Source organism: Homo sapiens, chromosome 1 (genome assembly GCF_000001405.40).
Source record: "Homo sapiens chromosome 1, GRCh38.p14 Primary Assembly".
Classification (NCBI taxonomy): domain Eukaryota; kingdom Metazoa; phylum Chordata; class Mammalia; order Primates; family Hominidae; genus Homo; species Homo sapiens.
Window position 1 is genome coordinate 3750740 of NC_000001.11, and position 27740 is coordinate 3778479.

General features: G+C 56.6%; 2 protein-coding genes across 6 annotated transcripts, besides 11 other annotated features; both read left to right on the forward strand.

Annotated features, from left to right (window-relative positions):
• The first annotated feature begins 1710 nt into the window (after positions 1 to 1710).
• CCDC27 (coiled-coil domain containing 27) lies at positions 1711 to 20906 on the forward strand. The gene is made up of 12 exons (NM_152492.3): positions 1711 to 2060; positions 3379 to 3502; positions 4718 to 4828; positions 5994 to 6151; positions 10542 to 10691; positions 11881 to 11973; positions 12369 to 12735; positions 12967 to 13097; positions 15796 to 15873; positions 16494 to 16706; positions 19044 to 19148; positions 20662 to 20906. Exons 1-12 carry the CDS (start codon positions 1743 to 1745, stop codon positions 20782 to 20784), a joined length of 1971 nt encoding a protein of 656 aa, NP_689705.2. The 5' UTR covers positions 1711 to 1742; the 3' UTR covers positions 20785 to 20906.
• Positions 11482 to 11983: an enhancer, noted in NCBI's record as "H3K4me1 hESC enhancer chr1:3678785-3679286 (GRCh37/hg19 assembly coordinates)". NCBI's record gives its function as "activates a minimal SCP1, AML or CMV promoter by ChIP-STARR-seq in naive H9 embryonic stem cells {active_cell/tissue: H9 hESC(naive)}" and the evidence as "EXISTENCE:reporter gene assay evidence [ECO:0000049][PMID:30033119]".
• Positions 11984 to 12483: an enhancer, noted in NCBI's record as "H3K4me1 hESC enhancer chr1:3679287-3679786 (GRCh37/hg19 assembly coordinates)". NCBI's record gives its function as "activates a minimal SCP1, AML or CMV promoter by ChIP-STARR-seq in naive H9 embryonic stem cells {active_cell/tissue: H9 hESC(naive)}" and the evidence as "EXISTENCE:reporter gene assay evidence [ECO:0000049][PMID:30033119]".
• Positions 20393 to 21071: an enhancer, noted in NCBI's record as "H3K4me1 hESC enhancer chr1:3687696-3688374 (GRCh37/hg19 assembly coordinates)". NCBI's record gives its function as "activates a minimal SCP1, AML or CMV promoter by ChIP-STARR-seq in primed H9 embryonic stem cells {active_cell/tissue: H9 hESC(primed)}" and the evidence as "EXISTENCE:reporter gene assay evidence [ECO:0000049][PMID:30033119]".
• Positions 21417 to 22296: a silencer, noted in NCBI's record as "silent region_124". NCBI's record gives its function as "represses an Ori minimal core promoter by ATAC-STARR-seq in GM12878 lymphoblastoid cells {active_cell/tissue: GM12878}" and the evidence as "EXISTENCE:reporter gene assay evidence [ECO:0000049][PMID:35858748]".
• On the forward strand, positions 22010 to 25217 carry SMIM1 (small integral membrane protein 1 (Vel blood group)). Of its 5 annotated transcripts, none has more exons than NM_001163724.3 (4): positions 22010 to 22102; positions 22324 to 22442; positions 24560 to 24744; positions 25056 to 25217. In NM_001163724.3, the coding sequence occupies exons 3-4, from the start codon at positions 24635 to 24637 to the stop codon at positions 25180 to 25182; spliced, it is 237 nt and encodes a 78-aa protein (NP_001157196.1). In that variant the 5' UTR covers positions 22010 to 22102; positions 22324 to 22442; positions 24560 to 24634; the 3' UTR covers positions 25183 to 25217. The 5 variants fall into 5 exon arrangements, with proteins under 5 accessions (NP_001157196.1, NP_001275512.1, XP_047275959.1 ...); NM_001288583.2 differs by having other exon boundaries at positions 22010 to 22049; XM_047420003.1 differs by having other exon boundaries at positions 22010 to 22442.
• Positions 22358 to 22873: an enhancer, noted in NCBI's record as "H3K4me1 hESC enhancer chr1:3689661-3690176 (GRCh37/hg19 assembly coordinates)". NCBI's record gives its function as "activates a minimal SCP1, AML or CMV promoter by ChIP-STARR-seq in naive H9 embryonic stem cells {active_cell/tissue: H9 hESC(naive)}" and the evidence as "EXISTENCE:reporter gene assay evidence [ECO:0000049][PMID:30033119]".
• Positions 22874 to 23389: an enhancer, noted in NCBI's record as "H3K4me1 hESC enhancer chr1:3690177-3690692 (GRCh37/hg19 assembly coordinates)". NCBI's record gives its function as "activates a minimal SCP1, AML or CMV promoter by ChIP-STARR-seq in naive H9 embryonic stem cells {active_cell/tissue: H9 hESC(naive)}" and the evidence as "EXISTENCE:reporter gene assay evidence [ECO:0000049][PMID:30033119]".
• Positions 24129 to 24273: an enhancer, noted in NCBI's record as "oligo 1:3691528:A:G used in the MPRA construct". NCBI's record gives its function as "activates a minimal TATA promoter by MPRA in K562 erythroleukemia cells, with higher activity for rs1175550 G versus A constructs {active_cell/tissue: K562}" and the evidence as "EXISTENCE:reporter gene assay evidence [ECO:0000049][PMID:27259154]".
• Positions 24217 to 24233: a transcriptional cis regulatory region, noted in NCBI's record as "range of bases deleted by CRISPR/Cas-9 editing among clones D3, D4 and D5". NCBI's record gives its function as "positively regulates CEP104, LRRC47 and SMIM1 gene expression in K562 erythroleukemia cells {active_cell/tissue: K562}" and the evidence as "EXISTENCE:mutant phenotype evidence [ECO:0000015][PMID:27259154]".
• Position 24225: a transcriptional cis regulatory region, noted in NCBI's record as "MPRA functional variant 1:3691528:A:G corresponding to rs1175550". NCBI's record gives its function as "higher enhancer activity for the G versus A allele by MPRA in K562 erythroleukemia cells {active_cell/tissue: K562}" and the evidence as "EXISTENCE:reporter gene assay evidence [ECO:0000049][PMID:27259154]".
• Positions 24422 to 24937: an enhancer, noted in NCBI's record as "H3K27ac-H3K4me1 hESC enhancer chr1:3691725-3692240 (GRCh37/hg19 assembly coordinates)". NCBI's record gives its function as "activates a minimal SCP1, AML or CMV promoter by ChIP-STARR-seq in naive H9 embryonic stem cells {active_cell/tissue: H9 hESC(naive)}" and the evidence as "EXISTENCE:reporter gene assay evidence [ECO:0000049][PMID:30033119]".
• Positions 24853 to 24912: an enhancer, noted in NCBI's record as "active region_66". NCBI's record gives its function as "activates an Ori minimal core promoter by ATAC-STARR-seq in GM12878 lymphoblastoid cells {active_cell/tissue: GM12878}" and the evidence as "EXISTENCE:reporter gene assay evidence [ECO:0000049][PMID:35858748]".

Consider the following 27740-nt stretch of genomic DNA (forward strand, 5'->3'; position numbering starts at 1 on the left):
CCCCCACTGAGACAGCCTGAGATGTGGCCTTGTGGGAAAGGAAAGACCTTACATCCCCCAGCCTGATACCCATGAAGGGTCTGTGCTGAGGAGGAGTAGTTAAAGAGGGAGGCCTCTTTGCAGCAGTTGAGATAAGAGGAAGATTTCTATCTCCTGCTCATCCTTCGGAACAGAATGTCTTGGTGTAAAGCCGACCATTCGTTCTACTCTTAGATAGGAGAAAACCAGCCTGTGGCTGGAGGCGAGATATGCTGGCAGCAATACTGCTCTGTTCCTCTTTGCTACACTGAGATGTTTGTGTAAAGTGAAACATAAATCTAGCCTACGTGCACATCCAGGCACAGTACTTTTCCTTAAACTTATTCATGATACAGATTCCTTTGCTCACGTTTCCCTTCTGACCTTCTCCCCACCATCACCCTGTTGCCCTGCCACACTCCCCTCACCAAGGTAGTAAAAACAGTGATCCATAAATACTGAGGGAACTCAGAGACCAGCGCCGATGCAGGTCCTTGCATGCTGAGTGTGCCGGTCCCCTGGGCTGACTGTTCTTTCTCTATACTTTGTCTCTGCGTCTTGTTTCTTTTCTCAGTCTCTCATCTCCACCTGAAGAGAAATACCCACAGGTGTGGATGGGGCAGGCCCCCTTCAAATTTCCTTCAGTCAGCAAGCAGAGAAGCCTTTCTTCCCATTCAGACCCTAATCAAGGCTTCTGAAGGTAGGGGTTTTGTCTTTCTCTCCTTAAAAGATGTCTTGAGGTAGGCATTTGAAGCCTGGAAAATCATTCCCAGGGAGTCAGGCTACTCTTATCTACTCTTCTAGGTATTTCTTGGCCAAATGTTTCTAATCCCAGAGCCCACCCCCTAAACCTTTTTTTTTTGAGATGGAGTCTCACTCTGTTGCCCAGGCTGGAGTGCTCTGGTGCGATCTCTGCTCACTGCAAGCTCCGCCTCCTGGGTTCACGCCATTCTCCTGCCTCAGCCTCCCAAGTAGCTGGGACTACAGGCGCCCGCCACCACGCCCGGCTCATTTTTTGTACTTTTAGTAGAGACGGGATTTCACTGTGTTAGCCAGGATGGTCTCGATCTCCTGACCTCGTGATCCGCCCACCTCGGCCTCCCAAAGTGCTGGGATTACAGGCATGAGCCACCGCACCCAGCCTAACCTTTTCTAATACAATTACTGTCTTCAAGCCAGCACATGGAGACATTTGAGCTGGACTCCTGTGTCCTTGGGAGCTGACTTTTCTTTTTTTCTTTTCTTTCTTTTTTTTTTTCTTTTTTTCTTTTTTCTTTTGGAGATAGGGTCTCACTCTGTAGTCCAGGCTGGAGTGCAGTGACGTGAACACAGCTCACTGCAACCTCGACCTCCCCAGGCTCAGGTGATCCTCTCATCTCAGCCTCCTGAGGAGCTGGGACTACAGGTGCACGCCACCATGCCTGGCTAATTAAAATGTTTAACTCCTGGGCTCAAGCATGCCTCCCACCTGGGCATCCCAAAGTGCTGGGATTACAGGTGTGAGCCACCACACCCAGCCCAGAAGGCAACCTTCAATATTGAGCTTTGCTCTTCTCAAAAACCTGGTGTCACAGCACTGGCCTCCAGCGCATCCAGCCGCGGGCCCCTTTTGCTCAATAACGGTTTCTATGGAGACATCTGTGATGCCACCACTGCTCCCAGGAGCCCACAGGACCTGGAGCTCTGGAAGCTGATCTCCTCCCACTGCACCAGCCAGCAGGTTCATGTTCGAGGCCATCTTCCCCTCCACACCCCAAGCCAGGCTGAAGAGAGATCCACGGGAAAAGCCGGGCCTGTCCTCATTCAGGTCCACATTCAGGCAACAAAGCTCACTTGGTCTTTGCATCCCACGCCTCATGTTACCTAAGGAGGCCAGCCCATCTCAGAGGCACAGTTCGATGTCCAGCTCGATGGCCAGGGCCCTGGTGCTCCTCCAGAGCATGGCCAGCCGGGACGCCCGGTGCCCAGAATGGAAACCGCACCAAAAGCCACGCACGCTCAGCAAGTCGGTCCAGACCATCAGCCGCTACTACAGGAAGACGGTATGGGGTCCCGGGAGGAGGGCTGCCACGAGCCTTGAGGTGACCTGTTTCTTCTCCTCCCCAAAGGCCCATAGAGCTGTCAGCCCACAAAGCATTCCACAGGCCTTCTGGTGATGGGTTACCAAAGGGGGATTCCAGGCAGGCAACGAATTGAGCGCTAGGGGTGGAAAGAGCCCTGCGGTCCTCTCCCTTTCTGAAGGGCCTGGTGCCTTAGTCCCCACATGCCACCGGCTTCTTCTGGGTTAGCTGCTTTGGGTTGGTCCTCCCCTCTTGCAGACCTTGGCTCCCGGTGTCTCTGGTTGGCCAAGGGGAGAAGATGTACAGTTTGCCCCAAGACTCCCAAGGTGCATCTTGAAAAGGAGAGTGAAGGGGAGAAAATGTGAAAGGGGACCTCAGCCAGTCAGGTACGCTGTGCCACCGTGTACTGGGGGAGCCCGAGATGGTCACCCCGGCTCCTGGCAGCTTCCTGGGTGAATGCATTGCCTGGACCTAGTGGACTATGGTTTCTTTTTTTCTTTTTCTTTTTTTTTTTTTTTTTTTTGAGACGGAGTTTCACTCTTGTCACCCGGGCTGGAGTGCAATGGCGCGATCTTGGCTCACCGCAACCTCCACCTCCTGGGTTCAAGTGATTCTCCAGCCTCAGCCTCCAGAGTAGCTGGGATTACAATGTGCCACCTTGCCCGGCTAATTTTATTTGTTTGTTTGTTTGTATTTTTAATAGAGATGGGGTTTCTCCATGTTGGTCAGGCTGGTCTCAAACTCCCAACCTCATGTGATCTGCCCGCCTTGGCCTCCCAAAGTGCTGGGATTACAGGCATGAGCCACCATGCCCGGCTGGACTATGGTTTCCAAAGTGGGTCTGCGTGGCTCTTGCTGAGCATCCAGTGTGCTGGAGAGGGGACAGAGGGGACACACTGCTGCAGCCTGCACACACGCAGGCCCTTTCAACCCCAGTGGGAGAGTGGCTTAGTGCCTGTGACCAGCAGCATGTGTGGGTGGGGTCGGGGGGCCTGTCTGTGAATCTCAGCCGACAGTCAGGCAGAAGCAGGGCCCCCGTCTGTCTAGGCTTCAGGATGCCTAAGAAGCTCTCGGTGGGCAGCCAGTGCTCCAGAACCAGGGGGTTGTTGTGGGCAGGTCTCTGGGGAGGCCTGAGGGGCCACACGGTGTCCTGGGTGTGGGGTCTGCATCTACATACGACTCATAGGCACCTGCCATTGGGGCGATTTGTGATGGTTTAGGGAAACAGGGTCTGCCCTTGGATGGGCTGGCCTACAGTCAGGGGCCTTCCTTGTCTGTCTTACTTTCCCCGCTCTGCCAGAGTGAACCCAAGGATGCCGCCAGCCTCACCGGCTTCATGTCCAAAATGGAACTTCGAAGGGTCTTCCCCACGCATCCTGACTGCCCCCAGTTCAGCACCAGGGCCACATCCATGTCCCACTGTGGTAAGAGCCCCCCACCAGGACCGCCTGTGAAACTGCCTGTCAGAGTCGAGGGGCCGGGGGAGGCCTTCCTGCACCCTTCAGCCTGCGAGCAGCCGCCAGAGTTGGCCTCCACAGTGGCCCCAGCTGCTGCTTTTGAAATCCGCTCTGTGCTCAGGGAGCCAGGGCAGCAATGAAGCTGGGGGTGGAGGGGGGCCCACTTCTCCTGGCCACTATGATTATGATTTGTCTCCCCAGCCTTCTTGCTTTTCTATTGTTTCACCCACTAAAAATTCAGTAGGGTCAGGGGCTAGGGGAGTGGAAATGGTTGAAGATTCTGGAAGCTTCAGGAAAGAACCCCATAAAGCCAGATAGCTCATTAGGGACAGTGCCCCTGGGGAGCCCTAGCAGCTATCCGGTCCAAACCCTTCACTGCTCTGATGAGAACAGGAGGCTTGGAGCAGGCAGCTGCCGAGCTCCATGGGCATCTGGGGGATGCTGCCCAGAGCCAAGGCTTCATCCCAGCATCTGCTCCTGGACCTGGACTGGTTCCATGTCCCCACACAAGACACCATTCTTAGGGATGGCGAGCTTGAGCTAAATTCCTATAACCAGTAGCAAGGGTGGGGTGGGGGGGTTGGGGAGGGGGTCCCGTGCTGTCCACCAATCTCAGCCAGCATCAGGTAGAAGCAGGGCCCTCACCTTTCTAGGCTTCAGGCCCCCACTGCCTCAGCAAGAGGGTCTCCACGGTGGCCAGGGCTCCAGGACCAGGCATTTTTGTGGGCAGGTCTCTGGGGAGGCTGAGGGGCCACACGGTGTCCTGGGCGTGGGGTCTGCGTCTACATACTGCTCATAGGCACCTGCCATTGGGGCAATTTGTGATGGTTTAGGGGAAACAGGGTCTGCCTTGGATGGGCTGGTCTGGAGGCAGGGGAGCTTCCGTTCGACTTTTAGGAGGCACATTTTTACCGAAGGAAAGTAGGGTCTGCCCCTCCGGGGGAAAGGGGGCATCAGCTAGAGAAATTCAGCCACACTTGGGTCTGCTGAGGTGGAGACACCAGGGCAGGCAGGAGGATGAAGCCCACCCTTTGGTTCAGCCCTTGCTCAGTCCCATGCATCCATTAAAAAAAGCCACCTGTGTCCCTACCTGGTGTTTAAGGATAAATAAGAGTCTGCCCTGGAGATCTTGGGGAGACAAGACCGCAGCAGTCACCAGATGGCATCTTTAACACTCTACAGGTTCACCCACTGAGGCCGATTTGTCCGGAGAGATTGACAACAGCTCGGAGACCTGGAGAGGCACCCAGGACCTGTTCTTGGCCAGGCGGGGCTCAGACACGAACGTGGACGGTGAGGGAGCCCCTAGGGCCTCTGCCTGCACCTGCTGGGCCCCTGAGCTCGAGGCCTGCTTCTTGCAGGGTCGCTGCTTGTGCCCTGCGGAATTCCCTCCCGGGACTGTCTGCCTCCTGAGGACTCACACAGAAAGGCCTCCGGGCCTCCCTTGTGCAGAACTAGCCCTGCCTTCCCTGACAGCATAGGCTGCAGTCCCCCCAGGACCGTGGCCCCTTGTCTTTAGTAAAAATCGTAGTTGAAAGTTTTGTCCCCTTGGCCTTTACCCAGTGGCTGATGGGTGCATCCCTCACTGTGGGTAGAGACCCCCCGGGACACTGCTCCCGCAGACAGGTGTGCCTGTTTCCATTTACCAAGAGGAAATTCCCAGCACCATGTCTCCTTTCTTGCCTTAACTGGAGGAAACCTAGAGTCTGTAGTGACCAGCTCCCCTCAACCTCAGGAAGGTGGAGAATCTCCTCCCTCCTCTCAGTTTAAAGATGGAGAAACTGGGCCGGGCGCAGTGGCTCACGCCTGTAATCACAGCACTTTGGGAGGCCAAGGCGGGTGGATCACGAGGTTCAGGAGTTCAAGACCAGCCTGGCCAAGATGGTGAAACCCCGTCTCTACTAAAAACACAAAAAAATTAGCCGGGCATGTGGTGGGCACCTGTAATCCCAGCTACTTGGGAGGCTGAGGCAGAGAATTGCTTGAATTTGGTAGGCAGAGGTTACAGTGAGCTGAAATCGTGCCACTGCACTCCAGCTTGGGAGATAGAGCAAGACTCCATCTCAAAAAGAAAAAAAAAAAAAGAGAGATGGGAAAACTGAGGCTCCAGGAGGGGACAAGCAACCAGGTGTGCAGAGACAGCATCAGGATGACCCCCTCGTCCCGACTCCCAGCTCCGGCTCGTTTGTCCTGGGTGTCTCGGCCAGAGCTTCCGCACCTTCCTGCACTCCCTCAGCACGCGCTGTGCTGGGTGTGGGCGCCCCATCGTGTTCACAGCAGCACCACACTGTGTCCTCAAAATGAGGGTGACAAGAGTTAGGAGACAGATTGGAGTCTGTCTGGGCAGATAGGGGTTTCCGAGGGAAGTCTCGGAAGGGTGGATGTCGTCATCGAAGACGCCAGAGGAGCTCGGCAGGGAAGGGTCTCATTTCTCACTTGGCCTCCGCTGTCGCCACAGGGTACCTCCTTCCCTTCAGTAAGAGCATCTGCGAGTTCGATTACTTGCGGAAGAGGAGAAAATCCCAGACTTTGAGTCCGGTCACCAGCAGCTCAGTCGCATCTCAGAGCTGCCTGAGAAAGAGGATGCCCTGGTACCTCTCAGTCATCCACGAGAAGGTACTGGCGGAGGGGGTGCAAATCCCGGCCCCCCACCCCTCTCTCTGCGTCCGGCTGGGAGGACAGCCCTGCTCCCTGACAGGCTCTGGTTCTAGTATCTGGTTAGCTGCATCAAGCAGGTCCCCATGGCCTAAAATGACCTCCAGACCCCCTGCTTTGACAAAGCTCCTCACCCCTGTCCATCCTCACCCCAGTGGGTGGCAGTTACGCCGGCATGGAACTCAGACTCACCGGCACGCATGACTTCCAACCGTCCACACATCTTTGCACCCACAGTATCTGCTTCAGAGAATGTATTCTAAATAATAAAAATCATAACAGGAATAACCAGCTTGATTTATGCACAAGTTGATTCATTGTAGTGTTATTCTTTTTTAAATCTATATTTATAAGAAAGACTAACCTATATTTTCACTGTCTTATAATTCCGTCATCAAATTTTAGTATCAAAGTTACTCTGGCCTCATTAAAATGAAAGAAAGAAAAGGCTGGAAAACAGTTCCTTTTTTCTTTTTATTTATTTTCTTTTTTTATTTTATTATTATTATTAGTAGTAGTAGTATTTTTTGAGACAGGGTCTCACTCTGTCACCCAGGCTGGAGTGTGGTGGTGTGATCCCAGCTCACTGAAGCCTTGAGCTCCCTGAGCTCAAGCAATCCTCCCACTTCAGCCTCCCAAGCAGCTGGGACTACAGGTGCGTACCACCACACCTGGCTACTTTTTGTATTTTTGTAGAAATGGGGTTTCCCCGGCCAGGCGAGGTGGCTCACGCCTGTAATCTCAGCACTTTGGGAGGCAGAGGTAGACAGATCCACGAGGTCAGGAGATCGAGACCATCCTGGCTAACACGCGAAACCCCGTCTCTACTAAAAATACAACAAATTAGCCAGGCGTGGTGGTGGGTGCCTGTAGTCCCAGCTACTTGGGAGGCTGAGGCAGGAGAATGGTGTGAACCAGGGAGGCGGAGCTTGCAGTGTGCTGAGATCGCGCCACTGCACTCCAGCCTGGGTGACAGAGTGAGACTCCATCTCAAAAAAAAAAAAAAAAAGAAATGGGGTTTCCCCATGTTGCCCAGGCAGGTCTCGAACTCCTGGGCTCAAGTGATCCACTCGCCTTGGCCTCCCAAAGTGCTGTGATTAGGGGTGTGAGCCACTGCACCCAGCACCTTTTTTCTTTTTCTATTCTCTGGAAGAGTTTGTATAAGACTGATGTGATTTCTTCCTTGAATTCTGAAGAATTTGCCATTGAAGGCTTCTGTGTCTGGGGATTCCTCACAGGAGCACTCTTATTTTATTAATTAATTTATTTATTTATTTTTGAGACAGAGTCTCTCTCTGTTGCCAGGCTGGAGTGCAGTGGCGCCATTCAGCTCGCTGCCACCTCTGCCTCCCGGGTTCAAGCAATTCTCCTGCCTCAGCCTCCCAAGTAGCTGGGATTACAGGCACGCACCACCACACCCAGCTAATTTTTGTATTTTTAGTAGAGACGGGTTTCACCATGTCAGACAGGATGGTCTTGATCTCTTGACTTCGTGATCTACCCACCTCGGCCTCCCAAAGTGCTGGGACTACAGGCGTGAGCCACTGCGCTCAGCCTTTATTTTTTAGAGAAAGGGTCTCATTCTGTTGCCCAGGCTGGAGTGCAATGGCACGATCAGAGCTCACGGCAGCCTCCATCTAAAGGGGCACTTTTATTTTTTAATTTGTTTATTTAATTTATTATGAGACAAGGTCTCATTTTGTCACCCAGGTTGGAGCGCAGTGGAGTGATCCCAGCTCCCTGCAGCCTTGACCTCCCAGGGTTCAAGCAATCTTCCCACCTCAGCCTCTCGAATAGCTGGGACCACAGGCACACGCCACCATGCCCATTAATTTTTTTCGTTTTTTTGTGGAGACGAGGTTTCTCCATGTTGCTCAGGTTTGCCTCGAACTCTTGAGCTCAAGTGATCCTCTTGCCTCAGCCTCCCAAAGTGCTGGGATAGCAGGTGTGAACCACTGTACTGGGCCCCTACAGGAGCAGTTTTAAAAATCACAAATTAGGCCAGGCACAGTGGCTCACCTCTGCAATCCCAGCACTTTGGGAGGCTGAGGTGGGTGGATCATGAGGTCAGGAGTTCAAGACCAGCCTGGCCAACATAGTGAAACCTCATCTCTACTAAAAATACAAAAAAAAAAAAAATAGCTGGACGTGGTGGCAGGTGCCAGTAATCCCAGCTACTTGGGAGGCTGAGGCAGGAGAATCACTTGAATCCAGGAGGCGGAGGTTTCAGTGAGCTGAGATCGAGCCACTGCACGCCAGCCCAGGCGACAGTGCAAGACTTTGTCTCAAAAAAAAAAAAATCACAAATTCAATTATTTAAAAATATATCCAGATTTTCTTTTTCCTCTAGTTTCAGTTTTGGTGTTCTGTGTTTTTCTAGGAATGCATCTATTTCACATAAGATTTTTTATGTATCAGCCTAAGGCTGTAAGTGGTACAAGGATAATTACTAGCTTTGATGCAGCTTGGGCAGGGTGGGGACGGCCTCTGTCTCATTCCCGACGTGGCTGCCTTGTGCCTCCTTTCTTTTTCCCCATTGGTCTCATTGGAGTTTTATCAATTTTAATAACCTTCTCTTAGAATCAGCTTTAGATTTTGTTGATTTTTCTCTAGTGTCTGCTTCCTTCTTTCTCTGCATTCTTTTGAAACTGGTAAAGTTTTGATGAAAATTATGGACATGAGTCACAAAATGTTGGTGATTTGGTGCAGGGCACAGAGGTGTTGGGGGGTCATATGACTGAATGGAGACACAAGGGGGCTTGCCAGTCCCAGCTCCTGGGGGTCCATGATATTCATTTTGTTTACTCCTGCAACTCTACCTGTACATTATTATAGATTTCACTGCTTCAAGAGTGTTCCTACCCTTTAACCAAGTAATTTCATTTCTGAGAAATAGGCTGAGCATATCATTAGCCAAGAGTCAGGCAGATATGCTGTTGTTATTCATGCAGGCAGCAGGGAGGGGATTTACCAGGTCATGCGTATGAACCATCCAAGGGAAGGGCTGCAGGCTTGGCTGCCTCCAGGAGCTCCAAGGGGCTCATCAGGCTTTTCTTTATCTCCTCTCTGCCTTCGTCTGGGCTGTCATAGATAAACTCTTCTCATTTGGTGGCAAGAGAGCCACCTGCAGCAACAAGTTTGCAGCTGGCATTGTGTGAACTCGGCAGCTCTAACAGGAAATCGGATCTCCCTTCCAGCAGTCCTTGCACTATTTTGAGACGTGCAAGTGTCTCGGGACCATGGCTTGGGTGATGAAATGTGATTTCTGCACTTTTTTTTCCCTTTAACTTTGTATTTCAGGCATAAAGTGGTAAGAATCCATACTACAAAGATTCCCATGTACTTTTCCATTCCCCAAATGTTAAATGTGGCCACGTTTGCTTTATCCTTCTCTCCTCTCTCTCCCCCTTGCTCCTCTCTCCCTCTCTCCCTTCCTATATCATAAATTTTCACACCTATCTTTATTCCTTTTCTTCTACTTTCTGCGGGATTAATTTTAGTTCTTTTTCTGAACTCTTGAGATAGATACTTGGGTCATGATTTTCCATTTCCCTCCTGGTATATGCATTTTAAGGCTATAAATTTGCCATTAATCACAACTTTAACTGCGTCCCACGAGCTTTGATGTGTCCGGATGTTCATTATCAGTTTAAAATGTTTCTAGCTTTCCTTGTGATTTCTTTTTTGACCCATTGGCTACACAGAAGCCTATCACTTACTTTCCAAACATTTAGGGGACTTTCTAGTTATCTTTCCTTCCAGAATATTCTGTTGGGATCATTTTCCTTCCACCTGAAGAACTCCCTTTAGTATTTCTCTAAGTTCAGATCTGCTGGTCACAGATTCTTTCAATTTCTGTTTGCCTGAAAACATCTTTATTTTTGTCTTTAATTTTGAAGAATTGAGGGAGTTGAGATTCTGAGAACAAAAGTTTGAGGAGCTCCCCGACAGGCCCCTAGGGAAGCTTGGAGGGTGTTGCCGGTTAAGTGTCGGGGCTGCAAAGAAGACTGGTGTCCTGTGGTATAGTGGGGTGCAGGGACACACCACGGGCCAGGTCCGAAAGGGAAGCTGCCTTGCAACTCCTCGGACGAGGATTTAGGATCTGTTCTTAGGATGGGTGCAGAGGCGCTGGAGGTGCCAGGCATGGCTGCAGTAAAGAGCTGGCACATCTTGATCTCCAGATGTGTAGTGCTAGCTCTTTACCGCAGTACCTATCTTGAAATCCCTGGGACCCTGGGGTTTTGGGGTACCACGACAGCAGATCTGCTCCTCCTGGGTGGGCTGGAGGCAGGTCAGGGGAAGAGTGTGTGGCTGCATGGCCCACGGGGGCTGCCCTTGGTTTTCTGCCCAGGATCACTGCCTGTCTGAGCTGGAGATACAGGTTCAGAAGAAAGACGAGGAGATCCTGCTGCTCCAGGAGGAGAGGGAGGCCCTGAAGATGCAGCTGAAATGCCTTCTGAAAGGCAAAGGCCAAGAGACATCCATGTCCCCAGGCAGGAGGGTGAGCCAGCCCCAGCGGGGCACAGCGCAGAGCTCTAAGACGGTTGTTTTCAAAGCGTCCAAAGCTGCTAGTGACACACAGGCCCCTGGCAAACCCCCAGGCCCCCTGGATCCTATCAGGTCCTCACTGGAACGTGGACCGGTTCTCAGGGTTCTGATCAACAGGCAGGGGAGAGGCGAACAGAGGCACGAAATGACAAATGAGAGCCATGAGCTGATGCAACAGGGGGGGGAGAGATGAATGGAGGCGCAAAATGACAAATGAGAGCCGTGAGCCGATGTCTAGGCACCTGCACCTGGCTTCTGACTTGCTTTCTGAATGGGGCAAGGCACAACGCTGTCGGGGCTCAGGGTCCTTATCCATAAAATGAGGGCTGAGCTCACCTGTGAAATCCTGGGGCATGGAGGCCACCCTGCAGGCGGATTCCCCGGGCCTGGCTCTGTGCATCATCTGCAGTGGTAGCTTGTATTACCCTGCCCTGGCCAGGAATCCCTTCTCCCCACTCTCTGGCTGTGAAGCCCCCTGCGAGGTTGGGCATGGGGTTGGGGTGGGGGTGGGGTAGAGGTGGGGATGCAGGTGGGGATGCTACCCCACCTCTAGGTGTGGGCAGAGGACTGGACGAGGCAGGTCTGTGTTGTGCCCAGGGGCGGTCACCTGATCTTCCTAAGATTTCTTTCACACCTGAGGAGACAGCCTGAGTTTATGCTGGGGGCCAGAGATGAAGCAGGAACCAGGGGGAAGGCCCCTGACCATGCCAACTGCCCTAAATGCCTCAAGGGAAGGCTGCCTAGACACACAGGGCGGGGGCAGGGAAAGGTGGCCAGCCGGCGGCTTCCACTCTCTGTCCTCCCCAGGCTGCTGGGTGGGTGTCTGAGGGTGGGCCACCCAGGCAATGACATGCACAGTGGGCGTGTGTAAGGCTGGCTGGCCTTGTCCTTTACTGCAAGGCCACTTGCTGGGGGCTGCTCTGGGGGTGCCTAGAGCCCCACTGCCCCCCAGAACTGCCCATCCGCAGGTTCCTGTGCCCTCCACTGCCACAGCACCCACATCCCCCAGCCCCTTGGCAGGAGGATGCAGGTCCCCTCCCCAGACATGAGAGGCCGCTGTCCCTTCTAGGACAGGCAGTGGTCTGTCCCTGGGGTGCTGCAGGAGGGGCTGGAAAGCTGAGGGTCCCACGGGCGTCTTGCAGGAGCAGCTCTCAGACGCTTCGCTGAAGCTGGGCAGGCTGAGCCTCCTGAAGGCCTTCTCCAGACATGAGGAGGAGCTGCAGCACTGGTGGCAGGTGCGGGCCGCCTGGAGAGCAGGCACGCAGTGGGGGACCCGGGCCCAGGAGCCACCTAGGCTGCTTAACTAAGAGGCCCAGGCCCCAAGTGTCCCTGCTGCAGCCCTGACCTGGGGTGCCCCACTCCAGGGGAGCAGGTGAGGTGGGTGGGTCGTTAGCCCCCTTGAAGGCACAGGTCAGGTGCAGTCTACTGACAGAGGGAGGACCCGTGACAGAGGCCACAGTGCCTGGGCCACTGTTGGTGACCTTGCCAGGCAGATGCTCTCCCACTCCCTGGACCCTGCAGCAGCCTGGAAGGAGGCGCCCTCCCCGGTGCCCCCGCCATGAGCATTAGAGCCCTCTGCCCTGGGGGTGCCCCGCAGCCCTGCCCAGCCCCTGCCCTACCCATCTTACAGATGCAGGAGGAGTCTGCGGCACCGGAGAGGGGCAAGGAGCCCGACCTGGGAGGTGGCGAGGAGGACGAGGGCCTGGAAGGGGAGCCCGATGGGGTGGAGGACACGGGTGCCTGGGGAGGTGTGAGCCAGATGGGATCCGTGCATGAGGAGGGAAGCGAGGAGGAGGAAGAGGAGGAAGGGGACAGGGATGAGGACTCAGAGGAAAGGGAGCTGCCGGAGGAAGAGGAGATCCCCAGGAGAAGGGCCTCCTCCCTGGCCGAGTCGTTTGAGGAGGAGCTGCTGGCCCAGCTGGAGGAGTACGAGCAGGTCATCCTGGACTTCCAGTTCAACCTGGAGGCCACCAGGACCAGATACTCCCTTGCAACAGGTAGGGCCTCGGCGGGGGGCACTGGGCTTTGGCCACTCAGTGGTTCCCGGCCCAGGAGCTGGGACGCCCAGACGCTGCCTGCTCTGGTCAGTGAGCTGGAGCAGGGGCAGGTGTCGGCAGCCTCACCCAGGCTGGCAGAGCCCTCCCAGCTGCCGCAGTGGCCCGGCCCTCTCCTTCTGTCCCTCACTGCCCCTGCTTGCTCCTGCTCACCGCCTCTGCCTCTGTGCCCAGGAGTGATTGCGTCTTTACAACAACAAGTGGATTTCCAAGAAACCCAGCTGCGAAAGATCAATACGGAAAATGAGACGCTGCAGAAGGAGCTCCGAGAGCGGAGGCAGCAGCTACAAGCCATGACCGACAAGGTGGCCGTGCGCTCAGTACCGGCCTCCGCTCCATGAGCATGGGCCCCAGGCTTCATTAACCCCCGGCAGCTCGGGGCAGGCGCTGCCCGTCCCATCTACTGATGGAGACTTTGAGCCTGGGGTGTCCAGGCAGCTGGCCCAGGGTTGTGCGGCTGATAGCGGCCCCGCTAGGATTCCCCAAGGTGTGTGGGAGGCTGGAGCCCATGTGCCCAGCCACAGCTCTGCCCTGTCCCTGGGCTGGAGGCAAGTGTCCCTGTCTCCTGAGCCGCTGTGCTCTTGGCCACTCCTCAAGCATCTCCTGGCCCCTGAGTCCTGGGGGTAAGAACGCCCTATCCGTGCTTAGAGAGACTGCTACTCCACTGAGCCCACTCTTGTCGTTTTTGTTAAGCGTTTTAGGTTTTTACTCTTATCAAAGTTATTCATGCACATCGCTTAAAGAATCAAATAGTTCCACGAGGCCTGTCATGAAAACCAGGAGCCTCTGACCTCCTCCCTCTCATTCGCCCTCTCCTAAGGCATCATTTTAAATTCTTCCAGCACGTTCTTTATGAATCTATCTCCAAATCTCTAAATAGCATGCTCATAGTGGCCATTCTAGATTGTTCTCCATCTTAACATTATTTAATGCTTCCTTTTTTTTCCTCCCTTGCCACCGCCCCCCAACACACACAAGGGCAGCCTTTCCATCCACCCTCCTCCTCGTATCATTCTATCACAATCAATGTTGCACTGACATCATTAGGACAGTTATTTGTCTCACACACATACATAAATAAAATAAGTTTTACAGAACAGTACTAAGATTCATAAACCACAACTTTAAAACTGCTGCATCCCACACCTTTTGCTTTCTTGCCCTCTTCACTTATTTTTGGTGGAGCACATCCTCCAGTAGTTTTATCAAAAAGGATAAATGAGGCTGAGCACGATGGCTCACACCTGTAATCCCAGCACTTTGGGAGGCTGAGGCAGGTGGATCACCTCAGGTCAGGAGTTCAAGACCCGCCTGACCAATATGGTGAAACCCCAGCTCTACTAAAAATACAAAAATTAACCGGTGTGATGGTGGATGCCTGTAATCCCAGCTACTCAGGAGGCCAAGGCAGGAGAATCGCTTGAACCCAGGAGAAGGAGGTTGCAGTGAGCCAAGATTGCACCATTGCACTCCAGTCTGGGCGACAAGAGCAAAACTCCATCTCAAAAAAAAAAAAAAAAACGATGAACAGGGGTAAAGTTTTGGGGACAGGATATGTTGGCAAATGTCCTTACTCTATACCCTCATAACATCTGGGTTGGATATAGCATTCCTGTTTGAAAACCATTTTCCTTCAGCATCACAGAGGCCTTCCTCTGTTGTCTTCCAGGTTGGCCGATGATAAGTCCAAAGTCGTTCATGGTTCCTTCTGGGTTGGTTGTTCCTCTCTGGAAAGTTGTAAGATCCTATCTTTGTCCCAGGTGATCTGAAACCTCCCAGAGTTGTGCTTTATTGAGGGTGTGTTTTCATCTGTTGTATTGGGCACTCAGTGGCCATCTGGAAACTCATGTCCTTTAGTTCTGGAATTTTCTTTGGTTTTATTGTTTTTTTATGGCCTTCTCTCACACTATTGGACCTCCTGTCCCGCTCTTGTTTTATCTGTTATCTCAACCTTTTTGTCTCTTTGTCTCTTACCGATACTTTCTAGAAGATTTCCTTAACTTTATCAACAGCTCTTTTCATTTTGTTATAATATTTTACTCTGATGTTCTCTGAGTGTTCCATTTTTCTTTTTTTGAAGCGCACTCTTGTTTGGCTTCACAATTGCAGTATTTTCCCTTGATGACAGCGTTCATCATACTGTTAGTTTTCTAACTTCTTGCACCACTTCTATTTCCTACAAGTTTGCTTTTGGTGTCTGTCATTCATCTGAGAGCTTTGCTCCAATGTTCGAGTTGACTGGACTCTGAGCACACAGGTGACCACTCTGTGCTCCCTGGCAGAGCAGTGTGCTTTGCTTTGGCATTTTAATGGAGAGTTTCTTTTCTTTTCTTTTCTCCTTTTTTTTTTTTTTCTGAGATGGGTTCTCACTCTGTCACCCAGGCTGGAGTTCAGTGGTGTGATCACAGCTCACTGCAGCCTCAGCCTCTCCAGAGTCGGGTGATCCTCTCGCCTCAGCCTCCTGAGGAGCTGGGACCACAGGTGCACACCACCACACCCAACCAATGTTCTTATTTTTTGTAGAGATAGGATCTATGTTACCCACGCTTCTCTCAAATTCCCGACCTCAAGTGATCCACCCACCTCAGCCTTCTAAAGTGCTGGGATTACAGGTGTGAGCCACTGCACGTGGCCTAGGGCTCTTCATTTCTGAAATAACATTCCACCAATCATCCTCATTTTAGCCTCCATGTTTAGAAGAACCCAGACCAACAATGTCTGAGACTTTTAGGAACTCAAGTGTGAATTGGGCTTATTTTCTGCTTTTCCTACTGCCGGCTATTTGGCTTTCTTGGATCTGGGATGTCAGATACCACTCAGCCACCTTCAAACTCTCCAAAATATTTTTAGTCCTTTTTCTTCTTCTCTTCTCCCTGCCTTCAATAGAAATCCCGCTGCTATTATTTTAGGGAGCTTTGGGGAAGGAAAAAAGTTAGATGCCGGAATTCAGTCTGTTATCTAAACCTGGGAGTCCCCCAAGCCAACCCTTCTGTCTCCTTCCAGTTCTCCAACCTCCGAGAAGATAAGAAACACCAAGAGATGATGGGGCTCATTGAAAAGGACAACCAGCTCCTCCGACAGGTGACAGCCTGGGTGTCGTTAAATGATCAGCCAGGCCACTGTTCTTACTGTAAGTCCCAACACAGCAAAGGGCAAGACGGGGCTGGAGCGTCTTCACAGCTGAGCCAGGACCCCTTCGGTAGCATGCCACTCGACAGATCTCTGCACCCCACGTCCACACAGAAGGCTCCTCGCAATTGCTGGGTCCAGACTGGACTGGAGGGACCCAGCAAGCGTTCCCAGTCCTTTTTTTTTTTTTTTTTTTTTTGAGACAGAGTCCTGCTCCGTCACCAGGCTGGAGTGCAGTGGTGTGATCTCAGCTCACTGCAACCTCCGCCTCCTGGGTTCAAGTGATTCTCCTGCCTCAGTCTCCCGAGTAGCTGGGACTACCAGCACTTGCCATCATGCCCAGCTAATTTTTGTATTTTTAGTAGAGACAGGGTTTCACCATGTTGGTCAGGCTGGTCTCAATCTCTTAACCTCGTGATCCGCCCACCGCAGCTTCCCAAAGTGCTGGGATTACAGGCGTGAGCCACTGCACCTGGCCGCCGGCCATCTTTTAGGAAAAAGTGGATGGGTGCCACACATACTCAGGTTGGGCGAAATGACCCCACCTCTTTTTTCTCCCCGGCTGTCCCCAGCAAGTGTCGGAACTGGAGAGAAAGCTCACCAAGCGGGACTGTGTCATCTCAGAGTTGGACACCAAGGTCAGCCAGCTGCAGGAGCAGGTGGAACTGGACCAGAACCACCTGCAGAGGTGGAAGCAGCTGCAGGAGGATTTGCAGAGCAAGAAGGAGATGATTCAGCAGGCAGAGCAGCACACCCGCGTGGCCCTGGAGAGCTCCCAGTCCAGGGTATGCCCAGCCCTTCCTCCTGAGGGTCTGTCCCAGCAGCTGGCGGCCGAGCACCCAGGCCTCTGCCCACCGCCCACCGAGGTAGAACCGGGGTCTGTGTACGCTGGGGCTCGGGCTGGTTCTGCCGTGTACACCAGCATCCACACAGAGTTGACACTCAAGAAATGTGGGTAGAGGACGGAGTGAGAGTGCAACAGAGTAGCCCGGAAATGTTCGTCAATGGCAGTGGTGGGCGGAGCCCCATGGGCAGGGCTGCGGGTCTTGGGTTGCATTGTGAAGGGGTTGGATCACTGGCTGGAAAGGAGGAGGGCACCTGGATAGGGAGGCATGGTGTTGCCCCCCTCATCTCTGAGTCATAGCGTGCTTGCTGGACCAGGCACCATTCTAAGTACCTTCTTGGTATCAAAGTCATGTAGCTCCTTTAACCAGACTGCGAAGTAGTTATCATGATCCTCACTTAGTAGACAAATAGGAAAGGATGAACAGTCCCCCTGGACAGCAGACCTGCTTTGCGGTGGTGCTGGGATTTGGCAGTCTCAACTGCAGGGCTCCACTGGGGTGTCATATGAAACGTGAGCAAGGCCAGAGTGTGCCCTGCTTGTGAGGGCCCCATGCCAAAAAGGAAATCAATAAAGAGCTGACCTTTTTTTTTTTTTTTTTTTTTTCTGAGACAGGGTCTTTCTCTGTCATCCAGTCTGGAGTGCAGTGGGGTGATAACAGCTCACTGCAGCCTTGGCCTCCCAGGCTCAAGCTGTCGTCATCCCACCTCAGCCTCCTGAGTAGCTGGGACCACAGGCATGTGCCACCATACCTGGCCAATTTTAAAAGCTTTTTGTAGAGACGGTCTCACTATGCTGTCCAGGCTGGTCTTGAACTCCTGGGCTCCAGCAATCTGCCTGCCTTGGCCTCCCGAAGTGTTGGGAATACAGGTGTGAGCTACCGTGCCTGGCCCTGACCTTGATTTAGAATCCAAAATTAAGCAAAGGTCAAGGTCATGTATGGAGGCTTTTGAAGTCAGGTTCCCACCAGAAATGCCAACTGCAACTCAACTGCGTCCTCTTTCCTGCTTGAGTCCACCTCCTTCCGGCTGGGTCAGACTGAGGCACCCACCCCTGGTATCCCTTGATAAAACAGTTTGGGATCCAGCCGTAGTCCTGGTGAAAGCGTTAGACCAGAGGCGGTCTAGGTGTGTCCATTTGTGCGCCAGCCTGCACTGACCTGGTGGAGCCTGGAAAGCTGAGCTGAGAAATATTGTGAAGCTAAGTCCGGGTGAGCAGGAACTAGCGCCAAGCCTGATGGTGAGGCCCCACGGGTGTGGGGAAGTGAGGCTGGACACCCCGGGTAGCTGCCAACCTCTACCCTGGGGAGGGACCCCCAGTACAGAGGCCCAGCCCCTTGTGACCTCACGACCTCCAGCACCTGGCACGGTGTTTGTACAAAGTTGGGCGCTCAATAAATACTGGAAAGAAGGAAAGGATTCCACTCCTCACACAGGCCAGGGGCCCATGACATTCCTGCTGTCACTTAAACCTGTCCGAGCGGCAGTGTGGACATGCTTCCACTCGGAGGCAAGGCTGAGCCTCTCGGGCCCAGCTCCTGTGGGGCACCTCTGCGTCGTCAGGGTTTCTGGACGAGGAACTCGTGCTGAGCGTGCCGCATAACTCAAGGGGTTCCTGTCTGAGGCTCCTGGGGTGCAGATTGGAGGGGTTTCCTCTGCAGCTTCCTGGGAGGCACGATTAGCTACCTCTGGGGAGGCGGCTGCGGGTGTACAGGCAGACAAGGATCTTCATGGCAGCAGAAGACGAGAACGCCTTCTGGGTCTGTGCGCGGGGGCCAGGTTCAACGCTGCTGTCCATGGCACAGACACCTCCTAGTCAGCATGGAAAGGAGGAAGCACCAGCAGCGCACTGTTAAATGCCTAAAGTGAGAGTGTCCCCAAGGGCCAGGAAGTCCGCTCACTGCAGCTCCCCTGGGCAGTGGAGGATGGTCCAGGGGTTACGTGCGGCTTCTGTACTATTTTGGTTTGTTGGTTTAAAAATATATATATATGTGTGTGTAGGTTTTACTTTCCAATTAGAAAAGCCCACCTGGTGTAGGAGAGTCTTTGGGCTTTGGGGCTGGGCCGCACAGGGTCAGGGGTTGGATCCGGCACCTCCTAGCTCTCAGACAATCCACATTGACTTCTCTGACACCTGTTTCCAGTTTCTAAAGCCATGAAAAGTGAGGGTGAGCTGTTCCTTCCTGGTACATAAAAAATAAGGTGGTGGGGGGTGCAGCCCACTGGCCAGGTGCCTTCTTGGGTAAAGGCGAATGATAGTGTTGTCCCTTTGCTCACAGCTCGAGAGGTTAAGGAATAAGATCATCCAGGCCACCTTTAGCATCTCCGGGACCAAGTCCTTGGCCAACGAGATCTCTGACAATGACATCCTGGAAGCCCTGCAGGTATACCCCTAAGCTCAGCTGCCTCTATCCGGGCCCCAGACCCCCAGGCCAGAGCTGTGGTAGGGGGTTGTGGGGGGCCTAGATTCCAGGGACTCTGTTCTCATCCTACCTGTGTCACCTATTCACTTGGACCCCAGGACCCTCCTTTCTCTCAGCTCAGGCAGAGGGGATCAAATCATCCTAAGGCAGGTGGGGGCATGGCACGGGAGTCTTAGCTACTCTCAGCAAAACGGGGGACGGGCATCAGAGACCAGCAGTAACTGCCACAACCCATCCTGAGCGCTGTGGAGAGGGGACAAGCCGCTCAGGGCACGAAGATTCTCCCACAGCAGGAGCCCAGCCCCGGCTTTGTCCAGCTTGGTCCCCTCCGCTGGTATCACCACCCACTGATCCAGGGCCCTGGTGCAGACCCCTCCCACCCCGGCCACAGCCTCCTGGGCTCCTTCCTGACCAGGGGTCCCCAAGCAAGGGCCTCGGAGAAGTAGAGGGGTGTAGGAGAATTCAGGCCTTGGGGTCACTGGGCATGAGGGGGTCACCACCCACCAGCTGGGGGCCACACACTCACTTTTCTGAGCCATAGATGCCTCCCTCTGTGATGGACAGCGCATGCTCACCTGCAAGGTGTCGTAAGACTCAGAGCTCTGGGAGCCGGGCACCGGCTATGGCTCTGTGTGGGGCTGTGTACTACGAAGGGGTCACCTCTCACCAGGAGCTGCTTTTGTTCCCAAGACCCACACTTCACCCTCTGGGGCTGCCCTTGAACCCCAGTGTGTGCCCCTGACCTTCCAGCACCCACGTTCCTGGGGCCTGGTTCCCTTCCTCTGCAGAGTGGGGGGCCCTGGACAGTGCCTCTCCTGCAGAGCTGTAATGTGGAGAGAGGTCTCTGCGGCCTTGGTACTGTTGTCTGGGGGAGGGGAGGAGGAAGGGGAGAGAAAGAGGAAGAGAAGAGGGAAGACAGAGGATGGAGGGAGTTATTCCCACCGCACAGTAGCCAGGGAAGAGCACCTTTGCTTGCTTGCCATAGCCTGACATGAACCAGCAACGGCCCAGAGAGGAGAATGGAAGAGAGGTGGGGACAACATTCCCTCTGTACAGGACAGAAGGGACTTGAGGGACAGATGTGACGACCTCAAAGATCTCTAGGAGTCTGGGGCTCCTCACAACTCTAAGAGGGCTGAAGAGGGGGCTTAGTGCAGGCTTCTGCGGGCTGGTGGTGTGCACCTGCCCCCGGCTCCGCATTCTGTGACTTCACTTCCGTGGCTGAAAATCAGCCACTGTGGGAATATTCCCACCACAGAAACTGGCAACGCCACAAAGCCGAGGGTTGTTTGTTTTTTCTCCCCCTGGAGAGCCGGTTGTAAGTATTCACCAGCACACCCCTGCTGCAGCAAGCCTCTCTGGAGGAGGAGGAGAGGGTGGCGTCCCGGGCAGCTGGCACGGACTGTGCAGACCGGCCTCAAGGCCAAGGTGAGGAACTGGGAAGGCCACCTCGACGGCTGTGTTTCTTGTGTAGAGAATTATCTCAGAGAGAAGCGACTACTATAATCAGCTGAAGCAGAAAGGCGTCAAAGTGCCCCCCCTGCAACAGTCAGAGGCCTTCCTGACCAGCAAATCCAAGAAGGGGACCTCCAAGTAGGCCCAGCCAGGCCCCCAAATACGGTCAGCCCAGCAGAGGCCGGGGCCCAGCTCCAGAACCACCCGCCCCCACCATGCGTCCTGCTCTCAGACTCAGAATTAAACCCCGGTGTTGGCACTGTCCCACCTTTTTCTTCTCTGGGATCCACGCGGGGGCCTACTCTCCTCTGCGACCTTGAGCTACAAGGACACTCCCCATTCCAAAGCTCACTCACAGGGAGTCAGCACACCAGCCTGTGCCCCTAGCTCCTAACAGGTCCCCTTGCGGCACCAGGCTGCCAGAGGCCTGAGCCGGGGTGTCCGCCCAGCACTCAGCACAGACCTCACGCCTGAGCAGAAGGGGTCTGTGACCTTCTGCCCTGGGGGCTCTCCTGGCTGGGGCACTCTCTTGCTGGAGGACCCCTCTGGAAGATGGTGAGGGTGGGGGGCTCTGTTCCCATCCCCCCGCTCCTGGAAGGAAAGCTTTACGCACGGGAACGGTGTCTGTGGTCCCCGACGCTTCCCCGGCGCCTCTGAGGCTCTGGGCGCCTGAACACCTTCGGAAGGGACTCTCCCCATTACCCTTCTCTGCTCCCCACCCACACCTGCTTCCCTTCCCGCCGCGAGCACCGAGCGTGGGCCACGTGCGGGCGCCACGCCCCTCAAGCCCCGGAGGAGGACGGTCCCCGCGGCCGGGTCCCCGAACCCAGCATTCAGGCCCAGACGCGCCCAGAGCCTCCCGCAGTCTCGTCGGCGCTGCAGCCGGGTCCCCGCGGGGCTGGGAGGCTCGTGGCGTCGGAGGGGCTCCAGCAGGGGTGAAGGAGGTCGGGGACCCTGGAGGCCCCAAGGGCGAGCCGTCTGGGGGCAGAAAGTGCAGCCCTCTGCAGACCCTGCCCGGCCCCCCTGCACCTCCTGGCCCCGGGGCTGGGCGGCCTAGAGCCCCGGCCCCTTCCGGACGAGGCGTCTCCCGGCCCCACTCGCCCCGCCCCCAGCCCCTTCTGGACCAGGCGCCTCCCCGCTGCGGCCCTAGCCCTTCCCCGCATGGCCCCGCCCCCCTCTCGCCCCGCCCCCTCTCGCCCCGCCCCCGGCCCCTTCTGGACCAGGCGCCTCCCCGCTACTGGCCCCAGACCTTCCCCGCATGGCCCCGCCCACCACTCTAGCCCCGCCACCTTCCGGACCAGACACCTCCCCGCTGCTGGCTCCAGCCCTTCCCCGCGTGGCCCCGCCCCCGCCCTCGCCCCCTGCCCAGGCCCGGCCCCTGCGGAGCCCAGAGACGCGGGGACACAGGTGAGGCGCGCGGGGTCCGGGCTGCGGCTTCCCGGTGCGGCCGCAGTGGGCAGGTGCGACTGTGCGCGGCCTCGCTGGCTGAGAACTGGCGGGGGTGGGGGCGTGCCCTGGACTGACCCCCACCGGCCTAACCCGCGGTGCGGGGCCAGGGCCGGAACTGCCCGCCCGGCTCCTTGCCCGGCTCCTTGTGGCTGCTGGGGACCCCCGACACCAGCCACTTTCCCTTCCCGGCCCTTAGCAAGATCGGCTTCTCCGGTCACCTTTATTTTTTTAGGCTCGAGGCGTCTGCCGCACCTCAGCCCACGACCTGCCCCGCTGGGAGGTGCGGGCCGCTGGCCAGGCCCTGACCGCAACCTGGCCCAGAGGCCCCAGCCCTCAGGCAAGGTTCTCCGGGTAAGTGTGGGGCCCTGAGGCGCTGTGGGGTGAAGAGGTCTATGGAGGGGCGCCTGTGTACCTAGGGCCTTCCTGCACTCACAAGCCCCCAGGAGGTGCCAGGATCCGGGAGCCTCCCAGGGCCTGGAGGGGAGTCCCTGATGGGTTCCTGCCGCCACACCTGTGACCATCACATGAGTGTGGAGAGACGTTTACTGAGCAAGTGAGGGAGGCCAGCCTCAAGGGCCGGCTCTGGTGGCTGTGCACCGGGGTGACTTGGGAACAACGTGTTCTACGTCAGCAAGACAGGAACCCATGATCCCAGAGTTGAACACACTGGGCTTGACCCCTCCCACCGGGAGGCCCATGGTGGGCTGCTGCTGTGGACTTGGAGCCTCAGCACTCCCGAGACTAATGCTGCGTGGATGTCGGGTTGCAAGGCGGCTGCTGCAGCTCCAGCAGCTCCAGCCATCACGTCGAGTCTGGAAGAAGGAGGTGGCTGCTGCTGCTTTCACAGAAGCAAACTCTCCCATCCCCTGCTGCACCCTGGCTCCTGGACCCCAGCTGGGTGACTTGGGAAAGCAGGGGTGGTGGTATTAAGCTTGTCTTACCCGGGTCATGGCTGTTACCTGGGGCTGGCACATTGCTGCTGGGACCAGAATGGGATTCTGCACACCAGGCAAGAGGGCGTGAACCTCGGGTAGGCAGCTGACCGCTCCACATGCTCCGGGAAAACAGCACCCATACTCCAGTAGAGGCTGGGCCTCTCCGGGCCTGAGTGCCAGGCTGCACTGAGCCAGGGCTCCCACCGAAGGCACACTTTATGGCTTTGAGACAGCTCCTTCTGCCTCTCTGGGCTTTGGGGGAAGGCAGACATGGAAGTGCCGGGAGTCTCAGAACTGCCTGGGGCCTGAGTTTCTGAGCTGGCTTCTTGCAGGGGAGTGGCTGCTGTGCCTTTAGGCCTCTGTGCCGATGACCTGGGAGGAAGGTCAGCCTTCCCCGCTGGAGGGGGCCCAGCAAAGCCTCAGCTCCTAGAAGTGAGGGGCCTGCCATTGCCTGCCCGAGGACCCCACTCCTGGGGGCCAGATGCTGAGAGGGGACACTGGGGGCCCAGCAGACCAGAGAGCTGACCCCAGTCCCACAGCCTGGGTGGGTTGTCAACTTCTCGTGCCCCCTCCAACTCCTCCACCCCCACACCCCCTTAGGTAAATAGGAGGTCGAAACAGAGGCCAGAGGGTAAAGGAGGTGCTTAGAGTCCGGGCTGGCTCAGGCCGGCCGGGCAGCTGTGCTAGTGCTTGGAGTTCCTGCTCAGTCCCCGTGGTCTCCTCGCCCCTCTGGGCACTTGGGCTGCCAGGCACCGAGCTGAGTGCCGAGATGCAAAGATGAGTCCCAGGTCTGCAGGAGTTGGAGCCCAGCAGGGAGCTGGCCTTGGGGCCGGGCCCCTCCTGCTCTGGGCAGCCACCCAGCCCTACGACCCTCCTGTCTCTGTAGGGCCTCCCCAAGGCCTTGAATCCACCCCGGCCCCGTGCTCAGTGCATCATGCCCCCCAAGCCCCAGCCCTCCTAGAGGTGTGGGTGGGGGAGGGGCTGCAACCCACACAGGCTGAGGACACAGCTGCTGCCACTGCCTGGGGCCAGCCACGCATCCTCCCCAGACAGGGACCGGTCTAGCTGTACCAGCCGCTGCCCCGGACCTGCTGCCCTGCCCCACCCCCCCCTCCCCTGGCCAGCCTCCCCAGAGGCCAGAAGGCGCCTTATCGGGCAGGGTTAAGGAGGGGGACAGTTATCAGGGGCTGCAGCCTAGATTGGGCCACAATGTCCTCGTCTCTTGAGGGTGGCAGGCTGTGCAGGCTCCCTGATAAAAGCACCGGGGAAGGGAGGCTCCTGGAGTGTGCTGGAAGGAAACACTGGCCTCCCACATGCCTGAGGTCAGGGCTTGGCCTGAGATGGAATTCTCGCTTGGTCCCATCCTCCCGGCCTGACCCTGGGCAAATGACTCTACCACTTTGTGTCTAGGTCACCTGTTAAGTCAGGCGACAGACCCGGTGAGGGAGTCAGCCCCCGACCCTTAGTGCCCCTCTCCTAACAGCAGCCTCAGAGGGGGTCTTGACTGCCGCCCTCCATCCGCTTGTTTTACAGTGAAGCCACAGCCTGGCCACCTGTCTTGATCTCCCCACCGAGAAGGCCCCGCCCCTCCCGCTGCAGCCCCACAGCATGCAGCCCCAGGAGAGCCACGTCCACTATAGTAGGTGGGAGGACGGCAGCAGGGACGGAGTCAGCCTAGGGGCTGTGTCCAGCACAGAAGAGGCCTCACGCTGCCGCAGGTGAGGGGCCTGAGGGCAGCCTGCCAGCCATAGCAGGCTGGTGTCTCCCTCCAGAGACGCCTGCCCTAACCCCTGCTACCGGCCCCATCACCCTCCACCCCATCCTGGCTGGGAGCCCACGGTCCAGCAGCTCAGCAAACCGCAGCCTTTGGCCTTCCCTCTGGTTGGCTGTGGGCGGGGAGAGCTTCCTCTTGACTCCAGCAGAGCGCCCAGGCCCCTCCCCCTGACCCAGACCAACGGCCACAGTCCACTTAGGGGGCCCCTCATGCGGCCCTGGCCTGGGGCTCACCTCCAGTTGGTTCTCACCCCAGGATCTCCCAGAGGCTGTGCACGGGCAAGCTGGGCATCGCCATGAAGGTGCTGGGCGGCGTGGCCCTCTTCTGGATCATCTTCATCCTGGGCTACCTCACAGGCTACTATGTGCACAAGTGCAAATAAATGCTGCCCCGCATGCACGCGGGGGGCTGGCCGCACACGTGAGAGCACAGGCCTGGAGACACACCCCTTGTACACATGGACCCCCCCACAGACACGGACCCTGCGGCACACACAGCGCACAGGGCACACGCGCTGGCAGCCAGGCACACGAAGACACCAGGTGCACAGCTGTCATCGGCCCCACACGGGGGCGCACAAACACCTGGCACACAGCCCTTCAAAGGACCTACAAACAGCTGGGCACACGTGGCTGGGAGGCCTGGGCCCAGCCTCAGCAGGAGCTGCAGGACACACCCAGGCTGGGCCCTGCGGCCTGGAGCCCCCAGCTACAGCCTCCTCTCTCCCAGGGCCCAGCCCCTTCCCTTGTGAAGGCCAGGATGAGGGGTTCCTTCAGCGGACAAACCGAGCCCACCTCCCTGGCAGCCCCCCGGGGTGGGATCCTCCCGGCTGCTTTCCTCCGTGGGAGCAGTGTGCAGAGCTGTGTGGCCCTGGGCAGGCCCCTGTCCTCTCTGGGCCTTTCTGACTCCTGGTTTTGTAAGGGTGGCTATGTGTCCCCCGCCCTTGTCTCAGATGCACCATATCTTCCTTAGTAAGTGGGCACAGTTCTTCCTAGGCAGCCCACCACGCGCAGAGGCTGGGTGTGTCCCTCTTGGGGCCGGCGGCTGCCAGGGAGGACCCGGGTCTACCCTCCCTCCCCAGGGATGGGCCTGGTCCCTCCAAGTACTCCTTGTGGGCCAAGAGCCTGTGTACAGAGGCATTAAGTGTCTGTTGAATGAACGGTGGATGACAGCCCTTGCCATAGTTACCTGGCCAGGCGTGACATCCAGGAAGGCTGTGGGAAGGGCTTGTTTCCCCGGGGCAGGCCCCCCTCCCATGTGGCTCTAGGAATGCACCCCTACCAATTGGGCCCTCTGGCGAGGACAGCCGGCAGGCCTGGGGACCCGGATGTGGCTGGACCTCAGCTGTGTCCCAGGGACTTCGGTCCCATTCCCCCCACCCCGATCCTGGCCTCCAGTCCCAGCCCCCGGTCCCAACCTCCATTCTCTTGGTAGGTGCTTTCCTGGGTCTTGTGTTTGGCCCTCACCTACCACAAAAGATCCCAAAAAGCCTTGCCAGAAACATCCCCTTAGGGAAGGGGTCCTCACCCCAGGGCTGGGGGTGGGAGACACGGGCAGCCACTATCCTCACGGGCACAGAGAAGGGAGGCCACAGGGCCAGATGAGGTTATTGGAGGGCTGAGGCTGCGCCTGCCCCAGGCCAGGTCCCGCCGAAAGCATCAAGTCAGGTAAACAGGAGGGGCTGCGCCAGTCTTGGTAGGGAGGCAGACTCCACATCATCCGCCTTTGGGGCGAGCAGGCTCACTTGAGATCTGCCTGGGCCAGCCGGTGGCAGGTGGAGCTGCATGGCTGATTGCACACTGCCCCAAGGCTCCTGGCTCCAAACCCAAGGAGGGAGCCCAAGGGCCTGTCCTGGGCTGCGGTCTGAAGCAATGATGCTTTCCTGGGAGCCTGTTGTTGGGTGGGCTGCTGCCTGCCCCAGCCCCATGACAGCCTGGATCTTCAAAAAGAGATCCCTACCTCTGACCTGCCACTCCCAAGGAGGGAAAGGAGTAGCCAGCTGGTACCCTCCCTGAAGCCCAGCTTCACAGGACAGCACTGCCTTGGGGCTGCTGTAAGGAAGTGGCAGAGGCCGCTGGGCCCAGCAGTTTGGCTGCATGGGCCCCAGAAGGCAGCACTCCGACCTGGGGGTCCTGGGGCTGGGCCTCCCCAAGAACTGGTGCGGCCCAGGAGACAGGCGAGGGCACAGGATGGGGATGGGAGCTGTCCCAGTTCTACAGTCAGAGGGGAAGTGGCCCTGGTGCTTCTGCCACGGGTCCCGCATGCCAGTGATGCCCACGCACCCCCACAAATGCTCCTTCCCACCTGTCAGGGGCTGGCATCAGATGGCACAGGCGCATGTCGGGTCTGCCCTGGATCTGTCTGGCTGCATCTGGGTCCGCCCTGGCAGGGGCCCAGCATCTTCAGCCAGGGGCTCCACCAGCAGCCCTGCCAGCCCCAGCAGGGGAGGCTACAGGCAGACACCCACGGGTGCTCATTGGGCCAGGCACTCAAGTAACCCACAGCCGCCTCTCGGGCACACCACTTGTCCCCTAAGTGACCATGGTGGAGACAGCAGCTCCAGCCCCAGTACCCCCAGGGTCATGGACCTAGGCTGAGCTGAGCAGTGTCCTTACAGCTCTGGGAGGGTTGGGGAGAGGATGGGACAGGACCCTGCTGAGTGGCCGCCTGGCCTACCCTCCCAGAGACTCACGAACAGGAGGATCTGCTGTGGATGCGTCTGGGGCCTGGGCTCCTCTGACTGTGCACCTGGGGTATCCAGGCAGCCCGACACCTCTGGTCCACCTTGTGCTCCAGGCAGGGGCCCAGCAGGGTGAGGCCAGTTCCCAGGACCCCTGGTCAAGGGCACCAGCTTCCCCATGACAGTGGCAGGTGCCTCTTGCTCCCTGCTGGCAAGATCTGGGTGGGGACAGGAGGCCCTCAGCCTCCCCACATAGAAGC

Excerpts from the sequence above, each read along its gene's own strand:
- CCDC27 (NM_152492.3), top strand. The coding sequence starts at position 1,743 with ATGTTCGAGGCCATCTTCCCCTCCACACCCCAAGCCAGGCTGAAGAGA. Across the intron at positions 3,503-4,717 it reads CACATCCATGTCCCACTGTG|GTTCACCCACTGAGGCCGAT; the intron begins GTAAGAGCCCCC and ends AACACTCTACAG. Across the intron at positions 11,974-12,368 it reads AGCTGCAGCACTGGTGGCAG|ATGCAGGAGGAGTCTGCGGC; the intron begins GTGCGGGCCGCC and ends CCCATCTTACAG.
- SMIM1 (XM_047420003.1), top strand. The coding sequence starts at position 24,635 with ATGCAGCCCCAGGAGAGCCACGTCCACTATAGTAGGTGGGAGGACGGC. Across the intron at positions 24,745-25,055 it reads GAGGCCTCACGCTGCCGCAG|GATCTCCCAGAGGCTGTGCA; the intron begins GTGAGGGGCCTG and ends TTCTCACCCCAG.